Source organism: Homo sapiens, chromosome 1, assembly GCF_000001405.40.
Source record: "Homo sapiens chromosome 1, GRCh38.p14 Primary Assembly".
NCBI classification, from domain to species: Eukaryota; Metazoa; Chordata; class Mammalia; order Primates; family Hominidae; genus Homo; species Homo sapiens.
Window position 1 is genome coordinate 170,051,617 of NC_000001.11, and position 18,897 is coordinate 170,070,513.

The 18,897-nt window shown below is 35.5% G+C and overlaps 1 protein-coding gene across 10 annotated transcripts in view; it reads right to left on the reverse strand.

Moving 5' to 3' along the window:
* The window catches only part of KIFAP3 (kinesin associated protein 3), a 163,856-nt gene that overhangs the window by 130,288 nt on the left and 14,671 nt on the right, over positions 1-18,897 (reverse strand). For 8 of the 10 annotated variants that reach the window (XM_024454186.2, NM_014970.4, NM_001375830.1 and 5 more), the window contains exon 2: positions 3,689-3,820. The exons of 1 other annotated variant lie outside the window; for it this stretch is intronic. In XM_024454186.2, the coding sequence (XP_024309954.1) occupies positions 3,689-3,820 (132 nt within the window). Of the gene's footprint in view, positions 1-3,688; positions 3,821-15,887; positions 17,302-18,897 lie in introns of those variants that run through there. One more of the 10 variants, NM_001204517.2, reaches the window with a different exon arrangement.

Consider the following 18,897-nt stretch of genomic DNA (forward strand, 5'->3'; position numbering starts at 1 on the left):
AGAAGAATGGAAATCATAACAAACAGTCTCTCAGACCACAGTGCAATCAAATTAGAACTCAGGACTAAGAAACTCACTCAAAACCACATAACTACATGGAAACTGAACAACCTGGTCCTGAATGACTGCTGGGTAAATAAAAAAATTAAGGCAGAAGTAAAGAAGTTCTTTGAAACCAATGAGAACAAAGAGACAACATACCAGAATCTCTGGGACACAGCTTAAGCAGTGTGTAGAGGGAAATTTATAGCACTAAATGCCCACATCAGAAAGGTGGAAAGATCTGAAACTGACACCCTAACATCAAAATTAAAAGAACTAGAGAAGCAAGAGCAAACAAAGTCAAGAGCCAGCAGAAGACAAGAAATAACTAAGATCAGAGCAGAAATGAAGGAGATAAAGACACAAAAAACTCTTCCAAAAATCAATGAATCTAGGAGCTGTTTTTTCAAAAAAATTAACAAAATAGACTGCTAGCTAGATTAATAAAGAAGACAGAAAAATCAAATTGACACAATAAAATATAATAAAGGGGATACCACCACTGATCCCACAGAAATACAAACTACCATCAGAGAATACTACAAACACCTCGAAGCAAATAAACCAGAAAATCTATAAGAAATGAATAAATTCCAGGACACATACACCCTCCCAAGACTAAACCAGGAAGAAGTAAAATGGCTGAATAGACCAATAACAAGTTCTGAAATTTAGGCAGTAATTAATAGCTTACCAACCAAAAAAAGAAAAAGGCCAGGAACAGATGGATTCACTGCAGAATTCTACCAGAGGTACAAAGAGGAGTGGGTACCATTATTTCTGAAACTATTCCAAGCAAGAGAAAAAGAGGGACTCCTTCCTAACTCATTTTATTAGGCCAGCATCATCCTGATACCAAACCTGGCAGAGACACAACAAAAAAAAGAAAATTTCAGGCCAATTTCCCTGATGAACATCAATGTGAAAATCATCAATAAAATACTGGCAAGCTGAATCCAGCAGCATATCAAAAAACTTATCCACCACAACCAAGTCGGCTTCATCCCTGGGACGCAAGGCTGGTTCAACATATGCAAATCAATTAATGTAATCCATCACATAAACAGAACCAAGGACAAAAACTACATGATTATCTCAATAGATGCAGAAAAGGCCTTCGAAAAAATTCAACATCTTTTTATGTTAAAAACTCTCAATAAACTAGGTACTGATGGAACATATCTCAAAATAATAAGAGCTATTTATGACAAACCCATAGCCAATACCATATTGAATGGGCAAAAGCTGGAAGGATTCCCTTTGAAAACCATCACAAGACAAGGATGCCCTCTCTCACCACTCCTATTCAACATAGTATTGGAAGTTCTGGCCAAGGCAATCAGGCAAGAGAAAGAAGTAAAGGGTATTCAAATAGAAAGTGAAGAAGTCAAATTGTCTCTGTTTGCAGATGACATGATTGTATATTTAGAAAACCCCATCGTGTCAGCCTAAAAACTCCTTAAGCTGATAAGCAACTTCAGCAAAATTCTCAGTATACAAAATCCATGTACAAAAATCACAAGCATTCCTATACACCAACAACAGATAAGCAGAGAGCCAAATCATGAGCGAACTTCCATTCACAATTGCTACAAAGAAAATGAAACACCTAGGAATACAACTTACAAGGTATGTGAAGGACCTCTTCGAGGAGAACTACAAACTGCTTCTCAAGAAAATAAGAGAGGACACAAACAAATGGAAAAACATCCCATCCTCATGGATAGGAAGAAAAAAATGGCCATACTGCTCAAGGTTTATAAATTCGATGCTATTCCCATCAAGCTAGCATTGATTTTTTTCACAGAACTAGGAAAAATACTTTAAATTTCATATGGAACAAAAAAAGAGCCCATATAGCCAAGACAGTTCTAAGCAAAAAACAAAACAAAACAAAAAAAAACCCAAAGCATCATGCTACCTGACTTCAAACTATACTACAAGGCTACAGTAACCAAAATAGCATGGTACTGGTATCAAAACAGGGATAAAGACCAATGGAACAGAACAGAGACTCAGAAATAACACCACACATCTACAACCAACTAACCTTCGACAAATCTGACAAAAACAAGAAATGGGGAAAGGATTTCCTATTTAATAAATGGTGCTGGGAAAACTGGTTAGCCATTTGTAGAAAACAGAAACTGGACCCCTTCCTTACACCTTATCCAAATGTTAACCCAAGATGGATTAAAGACTTAAATGTAAAACCCAAAGCCATAAAAACCCTAGAAGAAAACCTAGGCAATACCATTCAGGACATAGGCATGGACAAGGACTTCATGACTAAAACACCAAAAGCAATGGAAACAAAAGCTAAAATTGACAAATGGGATCTAATTAAACTAAAGAGCCTCTGCACAGCAAAAGAAACTAACATCAGAGTGAACAGGAAACCTACAGAATGGGAGAAAATTTTTTGCAATCTACCCATCTGACTAAGGTCTAATATCCAGAATCCACAAGGAACTTAAACAAATTTACAAGAGAAAAAACAAACAACCCCTTCAAATAGTGGGCAAAGGATATGAACAGACACTTCTCAAAAGAAGACATTTATGCGGCCAAGAAACACATGAAAAGAAGCTCATCATCGGTCATTAGAAAAATGCAAATCAAAATCACAATGAGATACCATCTCACGCCAGTTAGAATGGTGATTATTAAAAAGTTTTGGCAGATGCTGCTCAGGCTGTGGAAAAATTGGAATTGGTTTAACTATTGTGGAAGACGGTGTGGCGATTCCTCAAGGATCTAGAACCAGAAATACCATTTGATCCAGCAATCCCATTACTGGGCATATACCCAAAATATTATAAATCATTCTACTATAAAGACACATTAACACATAGGTTTATTACAGCACTATTTACAATAGCAAAGACTTGGAACCAACCCAAATGCCCATCAGTGATAGATTGGATAAAGAAAATGTGGCACATATACATCACGGAATAATATGTAGCCATAAAAAAGAATGAGTTCATGTCCTTTGCAGTGATATGAATGAAGCTAGAAGCCATCATTCTCAACAAACTAACACAGGAACAGAAAACCAAACACCACATGTTCTCACTCATAAATGGGGACTGAACAATGAGAACACACGGACACAGGGGAGGGAACATCACACATCAGGGCCTGTCAGGGGGTGGGGGACAAGGGGAGGGAGAGCATTAGGACAAATATCTAATGCATGTAGGGCTTAAAACCTAAATGAGGGGTTGATAGGTGCAGCAAACCACCATGGCACATGTATATCTATGTAACAAACCTGCACTTTCTGCACATGTATCACAGAACTTAAAGTAAAATTAAACAAACAGACAAACCCAGAAACACATCTTTTATGGTTGATTTCACAAGTTAGTAGTTCATAATCTATTATATTCATTTTCTAAATGGGATAAATTAGAATATGTATGTTACAACAGGTTCCTATTAAGCTTACAAAAATCTCATTTTTTCCTAGGATTAATATACTCCATACTTACAGTTTAATATAATCTCTCCTTCACTAAGATGAAGTATGCCTGGAAGAATGCCATAATTAATCACCTATGCTGATCAAAATAATATCAGATTTGTATAAAGTTTATATAATGTTCACTACTTTCAAAATGTGCACAAATAAAGAACTTACATTTTTTGACATTCTTTTCGTTCTCCCAACATGGGGTCCCCCATTTCTCCAAGAATGGTAGCTTCCACTTCATAGTGAACAATGAGTGCTTTTTCTGATGGATGTACATCTATATTCCCTCCTTTAACTTTCCTATAATACAAAATTGAAATGATATAACCAGATTAAAATTCTCAAAGTGGCCATGGTTTTTATCTATTTTTAGGTCTATAACGTGGGTTGGATTAACATGTGCATTTGAATCAGATTACTCTTGACTTGGGATTAGAGATAACTCTTTTTCTCTGTTTTATATACATATATATGTATATATGTGTGTATATATACACATATAAATGTATACATATAACTTTGTCATGCATAAAGTATCTTTATAAATAGTTCTACCTAAGAAAAAAAATACATTTACCAAAGAATCATGCATAAGAGCAAGTGAATGAAACATAAACAAGTAAGACAGCTTTGGAGAGAATGACCTCAACTAAAAGTCAGTTATTCAAAACCAAAGGCAACTGCCTTAAAATTTATATTAAAAGAAAAAGTCAGGCCAGACATGATGGCTCACACCTGTAATCCCAGTGACTTGGGAGACCAACATGGGAGAAACACTTTAGGTCAGAAGTTTGAGACCAGCCCAGGTAACATAGCGAGACTCTGTTTCTACAAAAAATTTAAAAACTAGCCGGGCATGGTGGCAGGTGTCTGTAGTCCTAGCTAATTGCAGGCTGAGGCGGGAGGATCACTTGAGCCCTCTGATGGTGCCACTGCACTACAGCCTGGGCAATAGAACGAAACTCTGTCTCCATTAAAAAAAAAAAATCAACCTGCCCGTTAATTACCCCATTAACTGGACCAAAAGACACGAAGAAATTGTCTATATTACAATATATGTCATGTATCATCTAACATAATGGTACAAGTTGTAGAATTAGTACCTAAATAAAATCACTGAATCACACCCAAATTACATAACAAAAAAGCATTTACAGGTTAGGTACGCTGTATAGTCACATATCTCAAATTATAGTGTCAATAGTAGGTTCTATGGAAAGGTTGTATATACTCTTTCTTCAAGCCAATAAAGTCGCAAAATGAATTCTTAATTGCAGTAAACCAATGATGAATTAATCACTATTTGCCACTTGGCCATTTTAGAAGGCGATAAAGTTGGTTGTGCTGGAAGAGATTAAGCAACAGAAACAAGCAAAATCTCTCATTCTTAGTCCTAGCTAGCAGTTAGCTGACCAGTGGGGTCTTTTAGCCTGATAAGAAAAACAAAAATATGACAACACCTTAAATTTAATTCCAATAATTAGAAACTCAAAGCTTTTCTTTCAGTTGGAAATAATACTTTGACTAATTATGCATATTTTTAAAGTAATTTTTTACGGATCTGTCCACCAGAATTCCATATGAAAAGGAGATGCATCTGGAGTGAGTATTAGGGTTATGATTAACAGTCAAGTATAGTGATAGGGTAGGAAATTAAGTACACTAAAGCATAGATTCTAGGTAGGTCAGAAACTAAACTGATAGTAAGACATATAGGACAAGTAAAGAATGAAAACAGAAGCCAGGGAGGCCAGCAAAAATCGAGGAATTAGGAAATGAGATATAAATATATATTTAAAAGAATGGTACAGATTCCAAAAGGTAAGATAAACAGATAATATGTACAAAAGCTATAGAAGTCACAGGAAACAAAAGATCTAAGGAAAGCTGAAAACAGATATAATGTAGCATCACTATAAGAAACATAAGAAACTATCTTAATTACATAAGGCAAACTAGTTACTTCCTTCCTGATAACATGAAAAGCAATTCCAGTACTGGACTTTTTATAACTGTATACAGTTAAGGGAAGAAAAGAGTAAGGATATATAAATGCAGATCCTTAGACTAGCCTCCTATTACCACTTTAAAATGGGTCTTTCACATATTGGCAGCTGGGGGAATTGCATAATTCTTGTCCTCTGTTGTCTCATATCTTGCCTTTCCTTAAAGGAATCAAATAATTAAAAAGGAAAAAAATGAAATGCCTCACCACTCCTTTTTAGTTTTTGTTTGCCTTTTTTTTGCTGTGTATGTGTGTTTTAGAGGAGTAAGTTAATTACAATTTATCACAAAATCAACTTATGTTTATTATAGAAAAACTAAAACAGAAATGAGCAAAGAAAAAATAAATTCAAAAACTTACAAGAAGTAGTCACTTGTTATTTTACCACATATACATTCAGATATTTTTCTATCTATACTAAATAATATACAAAGAGAGAATGACAGCTATAGTTTTTTTTTTTTAACAGAAGAGGCTTAAGGGTAGTATTCTAGCAGGGGTGAAACTATCATTTTATCTTAAATGCTGAACTTTCAAGCTGAGTAGCATTCACAATGATGTCAGATATTTAACTACTGGGAGGATTAATTTCCAAACGTTCTACTTGAATTCCATTAATTAGATGAAAAAAATTTGAGCCATTATTAGAAATTAATGAATTTCTATTTGAAGCATACTATGACACTGATATTAAATTGATATCTTTTAGCTGGTTGCAAATTTCTTCTACTAATAGAGCCTTCTCAATAACAGCTCTGCTTCACTTTGTTTTCATACATGTGTAAGAAAACTAGAACCAAAAGTGTGCTAAATTGACTTAGAAAAATCATTTTCTTTTAATCTCAATGAGAAGTTATGCTTCACAGAGTAATATGAAACATACCTTCTATAACTGCATGTGATAAACTGTCACCTTTTGGGACAGTGTTCTTAATTATTAACTTCTGAAGTACATCCTTATGTTCCTAGATTTCATGTGGTTAGAGATATTATTGTGACCCTTAAGAAAGATAATAAATGCTGATGAACCTTGTGTTGCCACCCATTCATTATCAATTTTCTTGAGAAACCAAAAATGCAGTCCTTAACTTTTCATTAAATAAGAACTTTTAAAAAATTATTCTTTTCAAAAGGATTTACTGCAAAATAAAATTGTATCAAATAATAAAATAAAAAACAGTTGTAGATTTACGCCATAGAGCAAATAACAGAGCCGTTTTAGGAAGTGTTTGGTCTACTCTCCATATGCTCTCTGGCAGGACTGCTATGCATCTATTTCCTCCATCTACTTGAAAAATACCCAATATATCAGTGTCCACAATTCCAAATGACCTTACCAACTGTCAGAGCATATGAATTCATTTCCACAGTTTACAGCATGGGTATGGCACAATAGGCTGCTTAATGGGGAACTCTATTCACTGCTCATATGTCTCATACACTACTAGACAAGACACTAGCAGAAGCTTGAAGTACAAAATGGAAATCTACCAAATCCTCCATCCCAGCTTGTTTTAATGTAATTACTAATGATACCTCCATAACATTTTTTTTTAAACTGGGACAAATGCTAAATCAGATGGGCTGAGGCGGGTGTAGGGGAGGAACAGCTGAAAACCAGAACTGTCTAGGGCAAAGAAGCAAAAAATGATGACCCTAACCAAATCTAATCTTTCCTTGCCTACTCAAAGGTGCTCTTCAGTAATTATTTAGTAGTCCATTCCCATCTGCAAATAAACATATGAAAACGTCTCAGGTTAACTGCTCCTGAATGACTACTGGGTACATAACAAAATGAAGGCAGAAATAAAGATGTTCTTTAAAACCAATGAGAACAAAGACACAAAGAACCAGAATCTCTGGGACACATTTAAAGCAGCATGTAGAGGGAAATTTATAGCACTAAATGCCCACAAGAGTAAGCAGGAAAGATCTAAAATTGGCATCCTAACATCACAATTAAAAGAACTAGAGAAGCAAAAGCAAACACATTTAAAAGCTAGCAGAAGGCAAGAAATAACTAAGATCAGAGCAAAACTGAAGGAGATAGAGACACAAAAAAAATCAATGAACCCAGGAGATGGTTTTTTGAAAAGATCAACAAAACTGATAGACTGCTAGCAACACTAATAAAGGAGAAAAGAGAGAAGAATCAAACAGATGCAATAAAAAATGATAAAGGGGATATCACCACTGATCCCACAGAAATACAAACTATCATCAGAGAATACTATAAACACCTCTATGCAAATAAACTAGAAAATCTAGAAGAAATGGATAAATTCCTGGACACACATACACCCTCCCAAGACTAAACCAGGAAGAAGGTGAATCCCTGAACAGACCAATAACCAATAGGCTCTGAAATTGAGGCAATAATTAATAGCCTACCAACCAAAAAAAGTCCAGGACCAGATGGATTCACAGCCGAATTCTACCAGAGGTACAAGGAGGAACTGGTACCATTCCTTCTGAAACTATTCCAATCAACAGAAAAAGAGGGAATCCTCCCTAACTCATTTTATGAGGCCTGCATCATCCTGATACCAAAGCCTGGCAGAGACACAACAAAAAAAAAGAATTTTAAACCAATATCCCTGATGAACATCGATGCAAAAATCCTCAATAAAATACTGGCAAACTGAATCCAGCAGCACATCAAAAAGCTTATCCACCATGATCAAGTGGGCTTCACCATTGGAATGCAACGCTGGTTCAATATATGCAAATCAATAAACGTAATCCATCATATAAACATAACCAATGACAAAAACCACATGATTATCTCAACAGATGCAGAAAAGGCCTTTGACAAAATTCAACAGCCCTTCATGCTAAAAACTCTCAATAAATTAGGTATTGATGGGACGTATATCAAAATAGTCAGAGCTATTTATGACAAACCCACAGCCAATATCATAATGAATGGGCAAAAACTGGAAGCATTCCCTTTGAAAACTGGCACAAGACAGGGATGCCCTCTCTCACCACTCCTATTCAACATAGTGTTGGAAGTTCTGGCCAGGGCAATCAGGAAGGAGAAAAAAAGGGTATTCAATTAGGAAAAGAGGAAGTCAAATTGTCCCTGTTTGCAGATGACATGATTGTGTATTTAGAAAACCCCATCGTCTCAGCCAAAAAATCTCAAGCTGATAAGCAACTTCAGCAAAGTCTCAGGACACAAAATCAATGTGCAAAAATCACAGGCGTTCCTATACACCAATAACAGACAAACAGAGAGCCAAATCATGAGTGAAATTCCATTCACTATTGCTTCAAAGAGAATAAAATACCTAGGAATCCAACTTACAAGGGATGTGAAGGACCTCTTCAAGGAGAACTACAAACCACTGCTCAACGAAATAAAAGAGGACACAAACAAATGGAAGAACATTCCATGCTCATGGATAGGAAGAATCAATATCGTGAAAATGGCCATACCGCCTAGGTAATTTATAGATTCAATGACATCCCCATCAAGCTATCAATGACTTTCTTCACAGAATTGGAAAAAATTACTTTAAAGTTCACATGGAACCAAAAAACAGCCCGCATCACCAAGTCAATCCTAAGCCAAAAGAACAAAGCTGGAGGCATCACACTACCTGATTTTAAACTATACTACAAGGCTACAGTAACCAAAACAGCATGTTACTGGTACCAAAACTGAGATATAGACCAATGGAACAGAACAGAGCCCTCAGAAATAATACCACACATCTACAACAATCTCATCTTTGACAAATCTGACAAAAACAAGCAATGGGGAAAGGATTCCCTATTTAATAAATGGTGCTGGGAAAACTGGCTAGCCATATGTAGAAAGCTGAAAACTGGATCCCTTCCTTACACCTTATACAAAAATTAATTCAAGGTGGATTAAAGACTTAAATGTTAGACCTAAAACCATAAAAACCCTAGAAGAAAACCTAGGCAATACCATTCAGGACTCAGGCATGGGCAAGGACTTCATGTTTAAAACACCAAAAGCAATGGCAACAAAAGCCAAAATTGACAAATGGGATCTAATTAAACTAAAGAGCTTCTGCACAGCAAAAGAAACTACCATCAGAGTGAACAGGCAACCTACAGAATGGGAGAAAATTTTTGCAATCTACCCATCTGACAAAGGGCTAATATCCAGAATCTACAATGAACTTAAACAAATTTACAAGAAAAAATCAAACAACCCCATCAAAAAGTGGGTGAAGGATATGAACAGGCACTTCTCAAAAGAAGACATTTATGCAGCCAAAAGACACATGAAAAAATGCTCATCATCACTGGCCATTAGAGAAATGCAAATCAAAACCACAATGAGATACCATCTCACACTAGTTAGAATGGTGATCATTAAAAAGTCAGGAAACAACAGGTGCTGGAGAGGATGTGGAGAAATAGGAACAGTTTTACACTGTTGGTGGGACTGTAAACTAGTTCAACCATTGTGGAAGACAGTGTGGCGATTCCTCAAGGATCTAGAACTAGAAATACCATTTGACCCAGCCATCCCATTACTGGGTATATACACAAAGGATTATAAATCATGCTGCTATAAAGACACACACACACATATATTTATTGTGGCACTATTCACAATAGCAAAGACTTGGAACCAACCCAAATGTCTATCAATGATAGACTGGATTAAGAAAATGTGGCACATATACACCATGGAATACTATGCAGCCATAAAAAAGGATGAGGTCATGTCCTTTGTAGGGACATGGATGAAGCTGGAAACCATCATTCTGAGCAAACTGTCGCAAGGACAGAAAGCCAAATACCGCATGTTCTCACTCATAGGTGGGAATTGAACAATGAGAACACTTGGACACAGAATGGGGAACATCACACACTGGGGCCTGTCACGTGGTGGGGAGAGGGGGGAGGGATAGCATTAGGAGATATGCCTAATGTAAATGACGAGTTAATGGGTGCAGCACACCAACATGGCATATGTATACCTATGTAACAAACCTGCACGTTGTGCACATGTACCCTAGAACTTAAAGTATAATTTAAAAAAAGAGTAAAATAAATAAATAAAATAAAACCACAATGAGATACCATCAAAAAAAAAAAAAAGAAAAAGAAAATGTGTCAGGTTAAAGGGCAAAAAAAAAAACCCACCACCCCCAAACCCTACATTGCTTAATGCCACTGTTGCTTAACACCTTGATATTCATCCTATTAACACTGCTTTTCATTGTTACAAAACTCTTTTTGTGTTTGGTTTTTTCATTTTTTAAAAAAAACAGACCCAAAGCTTACAAAACTTCTTTTGTTTTGATATTCACTCTAATTAGTCTACTCACATGTGAACCCATTCCAGTTAGACTTTGGCTCTAAACTCTACTCCTACCTTACCAAAAAAGCTCTGGTCAAGGTCATCAATTTCTTCCATGTTCTAAATATTTAAAGTTTTTACATTTTTGTCTTTGATTTATCTGTATATTATTTTTGTATTTTTGTGGGGATAAATTTTAACTTTTTTCCATAGAAACAACCAATTGTATGAGCAGGTTTTGCTGTGTCTTTTACACTTTTTTTTTGGTAGAAGTCATAGTCAAGCACATTTTGCATCTGGAACCAGTATGTACCTACTACACACATAAATGAAACAAAAAATTCATGAAATCATGCCTATTCTTATCATGTGAAAAGCACTCTATCCTATTCACAACCCACTGATACATTGTGACCCTACTGCTTAGAAATAAACATTTATTTATAGTCTTTTTTTTTTAATCACTGGTTGGCAATGTTACCTCTTTGCAAAAATGGGAATGAAACCACCTTTGCAAAAATTATAACAGTGAGAGAAATCTAACCTTACTCCATCTTGCTTCCAACCTCACATGCTACCTGCCTCTATCGACTCTAAAACAAAAATGATAACAATCCCTTCCCAAAACTAGCCTTGAAACCACCTTTGTAAGACTAATGAAAGGCCCCAATATTAGAATTACGGGAGGGACCTAAATTCTGCTAAGCCAGTAGATGCAGTTAAACGATAACCAGCCATTGTTCCCTAGTTTGCCTTTCTATAATAATCTACTGCTCCAGAGGTCACAAGATTTGTATCTTCCCTAATTGCTCTGATAGATAACAACACTATTGTCAAAACCTAAGATTAGTCTTTGAGATATTTTTCAGACTTTTGTATTCTGGACACTGACTGACTCCACCTGGACCTGTGACTCACACCACTGAACTAATTCAACTGGTTCTGTGATCCCCACCCAGGAACTGACTCAGCACAAGAAGATAGCTAAACCTGCTATAATATCATCCCCAAGTCAATCAATCAGTGTCTCCCATTTCCTAGCCCTCTGCCCTCCAAACTGTCCTTGAAAAACCCTAACTTCCAACTTTTGGGGGAGGCTTGTATGAGTAACACTCCCACCCTGCTGCTTGGCTAGCCCTGCAATTATTAAACTCTTACTCTACTGCAATACCGCTGTCACAGTGAGTTGTTTTTTTCTCTGTAGTGGGCAAGAATAACCCATAGACACACCCATGTGTGTCTATTTCTAGGCTTTTCATTTTATTCAGTTGGTTTACTGAGCTATTTTTACATCGATACCTGAGGGAAGTGTTCCCAACCTGGCTCTTCCATATTTTTCTCAGTATTGCGGGACCTTTCCCTGTCCACTTAAAAATTTAAAATTGTGTTTCAAATTCAGTAAAATACCTTTTGGGATAATGACTGACATAATGAATTTTCAGATTAAGGCATCTATCCATGAAAATGATAAATCTACTTTTAAGATTTAATTTTCTTTTAATGAAATGATATAAATTTCTTTAGAAAGGTGATGCCCATCATTTATTATTAGATTTATTCCCAAGTACCTTATATTGTTATTTGCATTTGTAAATAACTTTTTTGCTAACAATATTTAACCAACTATATCAAAATTCAATTTGGGAGTGGGAGGTATATAGATGTTACATCCAGCAACTGTTGCTTAATACCTTGATATTAATGCCAATAGCTTGAACATTATTTTAGGTTTTCTCTACAAACTAATATATAATTTGTGAATAATATCAGTTTCATTTCTTCTCTTCCTATCTTTATACCTTTTCTATTTCTTATCTTACTACCTGTTTAGGACTCCTGGTGAAATGTTGAGGTGGTTACATAGGTATCCTTGGATCATCCTTAATGTTAAGGGAAATGTTTCTAAAGTTTCCTCATTTACTGATGTTACTTTATTTTTTGAGAAAGGGTCTCACTCTTGTCACCTAGGCTGAAGTGCAGTGGTGTGATCACAGCTCACTGCAGCCTTGCCTCCCAGGCTCAGGCAATCCTCCCACCTCCACCTTCCAAGTAGCTGGGACTACAGGCATGCACCACCATGCCCAGCTAAGTTTTGTATTTTTTATAGAGATGGGGTTTCAACATATTGCCCAGGCTAGTCTTGAACTCCTGGGCTCAAGCGATCCACCAGCCTCAGCCTCCCAAAGTGCTGGGATGACAGGCATGAGCCAACACACCTGGCTAGTTTCCTCATTTAATATGTTTATATCATAATTCCCTTTTATTTATGGCTTTAGTTTTTTCCTTAAATCATGAATGTGTAGTGAATGTCATCAAATGTTTTTCTGCATCCATTGGAGGATCATGTATTGTTCTTCTTTAATTCATAAATATACTACATCAAATTCATTAAATACATAAAACCATACTCATATTCTTAGAATAAGCACAACTTGTTAATGCTGTCTTAAAGCACTGTTAGATTAAATTTGCATCCTTGCTCATTCAGCCTGCAATTTTCCTTTCTAATGTCCTTTTTCTGACTTTCATATGGAGATTATTCTAAAATCTTAATATAAATTAGTTGAGGAGTATCCTTTTTTTTCTAGACTTCTTGGAAGAGTTGTACATAATTGGAAGCATCTGTTTCCCAAAAATTTTGTTAGAATTTGACTTTAAAACTGTCTGGATGTAGCAGATTTTATCAGTATGAAATACTCCTCTGTAGTTTTTACAGTATACGTTTTCTTAAAGCCTATTTTATCTGACATTAATATGGTCATTTTAGCATTCTTATGCTTACTGTTTGATTGCACCCATTTACCATTAACTTACCATGTCCATACTTAAAAGTATATTTTTTGGGGATGACAGATAGTTGGGTCTTGCTTTTCTTTTTTCTTTATAAAAGAAATATTGGTGGCCGGGCGCAGTGGCTCACGCCTGTAATCCCAGCATTTTGGGAAGCCGAGGTGGGTGGATCATGAGGTCAGGAGATCGAGACCATCCTGGCTAACATGGTGAAACCCTGTCTCTACTAAAAAATACAAAAAATTAGCTGGGCATGGTGGCGGGCACCTGTAGTCCCAGCTACTTGGGAGGCTGAGGCAGGAGAATGGCGTGAACCCGGGAGGCGGAGCTTGCAGTGAGCCAAGATCATGCCACTGCCCTCCAGCCTGGGCGACAGAGCAAGACTCCACCTCAAAAAAAAAAAAAAAAAAAAAAAAAAGAAATATTGGTAATCTCTGCCTTTCCATTGGAACATTAAAACCTATGCTGTCTGATACAATAGTCACTAGCTACATGGGTCTATTTAAAATTAAATTTAAATACATTACATTTTAAAAATAATTAAAAATGCAATTCCTTAGCTGTACTAACCACGTTCAAAGTGTTCATTAGCCATACAGCCAGTGGCTATGTATTTGATGATGCAGCTGTAAGTCATTTCCATCAGGGAAGAAAGTTCTATTGGACATTATTGTTTTGGATCATTTAATGCAATGACTGACATACTTAGATTCAGATCTATCACTTCATTTTTATTTCCTGTTTGGCCCAACTATACTTTGATTATTTTCCTAACAGCCTTGTGAATTATTATTTTTTAAATTCCATTTTGTGTAGATGTTTTCACTATACTTTTAAAAACTGTTTTTGGTGGTTGCTTTAGGAAAAACAATGTTTTAGTTACCTTTTTTTTTTCACAAGGTATTTAAGAATTAATGCTGTGCTACTTCACAAATTGCAGGTCTATTGCCTACACCCCCCCCCCCATTCTTTATGTTATAGCTGTCATATGCATTATGTGTACATACCTTATAAACTCACACAAAAATTTCATAATTTTTGCTTTCAAGTCATATGTATTTTTAAAAAATTAAGAGGGAAATAATCTCTTATATGTACTCAAATATTTATAATTCCTGATGCTTTTCATATTGGTAAAACCAAAACAAGTTTTATATTTCTATTACTAACATTAGACTTGGTAATAGAGAAACAGAGGATTAAGGTAATTCAAACCAATGCACCTTCTAAGAAAATCTTAAAAGCTGGGGGCAAAAACACGTATGTGTGTATCTGTTTGAGGCCATAAGAGAACTAAAAAGGCACAAAAAATTACAGTGCCAAGATCCAGGAGAAAAAGAAAATGAAGAGAGGTAAATCTTGAATTTGAGGCTACTTTTCCCTAGAGGTATCTGCTAACTGAAAAGAGAGGGCTGAGAGGTTGAGAATCTTTTAATAATCACATGAGGCTAGAGACACAAAAACTGGATTCTAGAGTGCACCAAACAACAGTGGCTCTGGTAAAGCTCCAAGCTTTAAGCTTGAAACAGGAGGACTACCTCCTAGGAGTAACTGTGAAACAGATGCAGATCGGTCACCAACAAGACTAAAAAGCCCAGTTTAATGTAATTGAATCTCTGAGAACTAATTAAGGTGACCCTAAATTTTCAGTAATCCTTACTAACATAAATAAAATATAATCTTCTCTGGAAAAAGAGAACATCATCCTGAGCCTCAAATGATTATTTATACATTTATATTCCTATATATGATACTCAAAGAATAGTCATCTTCAGAAAAAACTAGATAATTTTTTTAAATTTCTAGAATTAAAAATACAATAACCAAAATTAAGAATAATAATAAATAAATAGGTTTAATAGCAGATTAGATACGGGTAAGGAGATAATTTATGGCATAAAATATAAGTCAGAAGAAAACACCCAGAATAAAACATAGAGACAAAAAGATGTAAAACACAAGCAAAAGTATAATTCAGCAATGCATACTGAGTAGGTCTAGCATATGTACTTGAAGTCCCAGAAAAAAGGTGAGAGAGAATGGGTACAGAGCAATATATGAAAAGATAATGGCTAAGTGACATCAGTGAAAACGGCAGAGTAGGGACCTCTAGAGGCTGGCACTCCCCAGAAGCACTAAAAACTTGGCAAAAAAAACCTATCACAATCAACCTCATCAGAACTCTGGAAGACAGTCAAAGGTTTACAGCAACCAAGTGAATGTTTAATCAGAAGAAAGGTTACAGAAACAAGGTAGGCGATCATTATGGTCTTTTCACTTACCCTAGACATCCACCCCACTCTCAAGCACAGTGGCAGTCTTCAAGATGGCAGCCCACGTTCCCACTGTTAATACTTGGTTCTAGAGGAGTCAAGTGGACCTTGCTCCCAAGGAATTTTGTCTGATTGTTTTGCAACTGACTGAAGTTTCCTTTGAGGTCAGCTGCAAGGGGCTTTCCTTTGTTTTGACTAATTTTAAACTCTTATCAGGATAGTGCAGCTATGCAGTCACTGAAATCAGTGAAAGCCAAGCATACAAGCTGCTGGCCCCTGGGATAAATAGTAATAGCTGGGTCAAACAAAACACAAGCTGAAAGCCCAAGAGGAAAGTCCAGGGAGTCAGACATTTTGGGGGAATAGATGCTTTGAAAAGCTATTGCATATAAAGAGAAATCTAGAAATCCATGAGCATGCTCAGGGCAGAATACATACCCAGAAAAAACCTGGGAAGATCATAAGCTTTTACCTCTGGCTGGTCTTCAGGCTCTGTGCAAGCAGCAAATGAAGGCTAAGGTAAAATTGTAAATTGCCTGGCTAAGTGTTGAAGCCATATCCAAACACTGAGTCAACCTACAAAGATCTGAAGAGTATTTTTTTCTTTTCTTTTTTTCCTTTGGATACCATAATATTCAAAATACCCAGTTTTCAACAAAACAAAATATGAAACATGCAAAGAAACAAGAAACTCATTCTCATTCTCACAATAAAAAAAATTAACAGAAACTGTCCATGCTACAGCACAAACACTGGACTTATCAAAGACTTTAAATCAACTGTCTTAAATATGTCCAAAGAGCAAAAAGAAACCAGTGCAAATAACTAAGAAAAAGGAGAAACACAATGTCTCAACACATAAATAGTTTAAAAATATATTATCATAAGGATCCAAACAAAAACACTAGATCTGAAAAGTACAATAACTGAAATAAAAAAATCACTACAGGGTTTTTAACAGCAGATCTGAGCAGAGAGAGAAAAGAATCAGCAAACTTGAAGATATGTCAAATGAAACTGTCCATTTTGAGGCACAGAAAGAAAACAGAATGAAGAAAAATAAACAGAACCTAAGAGACTTATGGAACACCATCTAGTATACCAACATATGCATAATGAGGGTATGAAAGGAGAGGAAGAAAGAAACATAGAGAATACTGGGAGAAAAAACAGTCAAAAACTTCCCAAATTAGACCAAAGACAAACTTACACATCCAAGAAGCTCAATGAAATTCAAAGATAAACTCAAACAGATCCACAATAAGACACTCTATACTGACGCTCTATTTAAAAAAATAAATAAAAGATTTTGAATTAATAACCTAATTTTACACCTTAAGGGGCTAGAAAAAGAAGAGCAAACAAAACCCCAAGCTAGCAGAAGGAAATAATAAAAAGCAGCAACAGAGACTAGAAAAAGAATAGAGAAAATGAAACCAAAGGTTAGTTCTTTGAAAAGATCAACAAACATTTTTGGAAAACTTTTAGTTAGACTGACTAAAAAAGAAAAGAAGAGACTCAAATTACTAAAATCAGAAATGAAAGTGGGACATTACTGCTGCTCTTTTGATGATTAAAAAATTACAAGAGAATAATATGAACACCAACAAATTGGATAACCTACATGAAAAAGAATAATTCCTAGAAACACACAAACTACCAAAACTGACTCAAAAGACACAGAAAATCTGAACAGAATTAGAAGTAAGGTGATTGAATCAGTAATCATAAACCTTTCAACAAGTCCAGTACCAGATGGCTTCACTGGTGAATTCTACCAAGCATTTAAAGACAAATTAACATAAATACCCCTCAAACTCTTCCAAAAGATATAACAGTAGAGGAAACACTTCCTAATTCATTCCATGAGGCCACCATTACCCTGATACCAAAGCAAGACAAAGACACTACAGGAAAACCTTTAGACCAATACCCTTTATGAATGTCGATGTGAAAATCCTCAAAATACTAGCAAACAGAATACAGGAGTATATTAAAAGGACCACGCAACATGGCCACATGGGCATTTCAATACAATACACCACATTAATGGAATGAAGAAAAAAAGTACATGATTATCTCAATCGATGCAGAAAAAAGCATCTGACAAAACCCAACATCTTTTCATGATAAAAGTACTTGATAAATTAGGAATAGAAGAAAAGTCCCTTAACATAATAAAGGGCATATATGAAAAATCTACAGCCAATATCATACTCAATGGTGAAAGAATGAAAGCTTTCCCCCTAAGATCAGGAACAAGACAAGAATGTTTATCCACTTTCCTGACTTCTATTCAACATAGTACTGGAAATTCTAGCCAGAGCAATGAGGCATGGGAAAAAAAAATAAAAAGGCATCCAGATTGAAAAAGAAGAAGTAAAATTATTTCTATCTGCAGAAGACATAATCTTATATATAGAAAATTCTAAAAATGGCACAAAAAACTGGCTAGAGCTAATAAATTCAGCAAAGTTGGAGAATAGATCAGAACACACCAAAAAAATCCACTGTTTTTCTACATATTGGAGCTGAAAAATATGAAAAGGAAATTTAGAAAACTTCATTTCCAATAGCATCAAAAAGAATAAAATACTCAGGAGTAAACGTAACCAAGGAACAACTGTATACTGAAAACAAAAAGTTGCTGAAAGAAATTAATATGAACTAAATGAAAAGAAATCACATGTTCATGGACTGAAGGACTTAATATTGTTAAGATGGCAATATTCCCCAAAGTGATCTATAGATTCATTATATTCCCAAAGTTTCAATAGCTTTTTTTGCAGAAATGAAAAAGCCAACCCTAAAATTCAAATGGAAATATAAGGAACCCTAAATAGCTGAAACAACCTTGAAAAAGAACAACAAAGTTGGAGGACTCACACTTCTGGATTTCAAAACTCACTACAAAGCTTCAGTAATCAAAACAGTGAGGTACTAGCACACGGACAGATAGATCAATGAAATATAATTGAGAGTGCAGGAATAAACCCCAACATTTTTGGTCATTTAATTT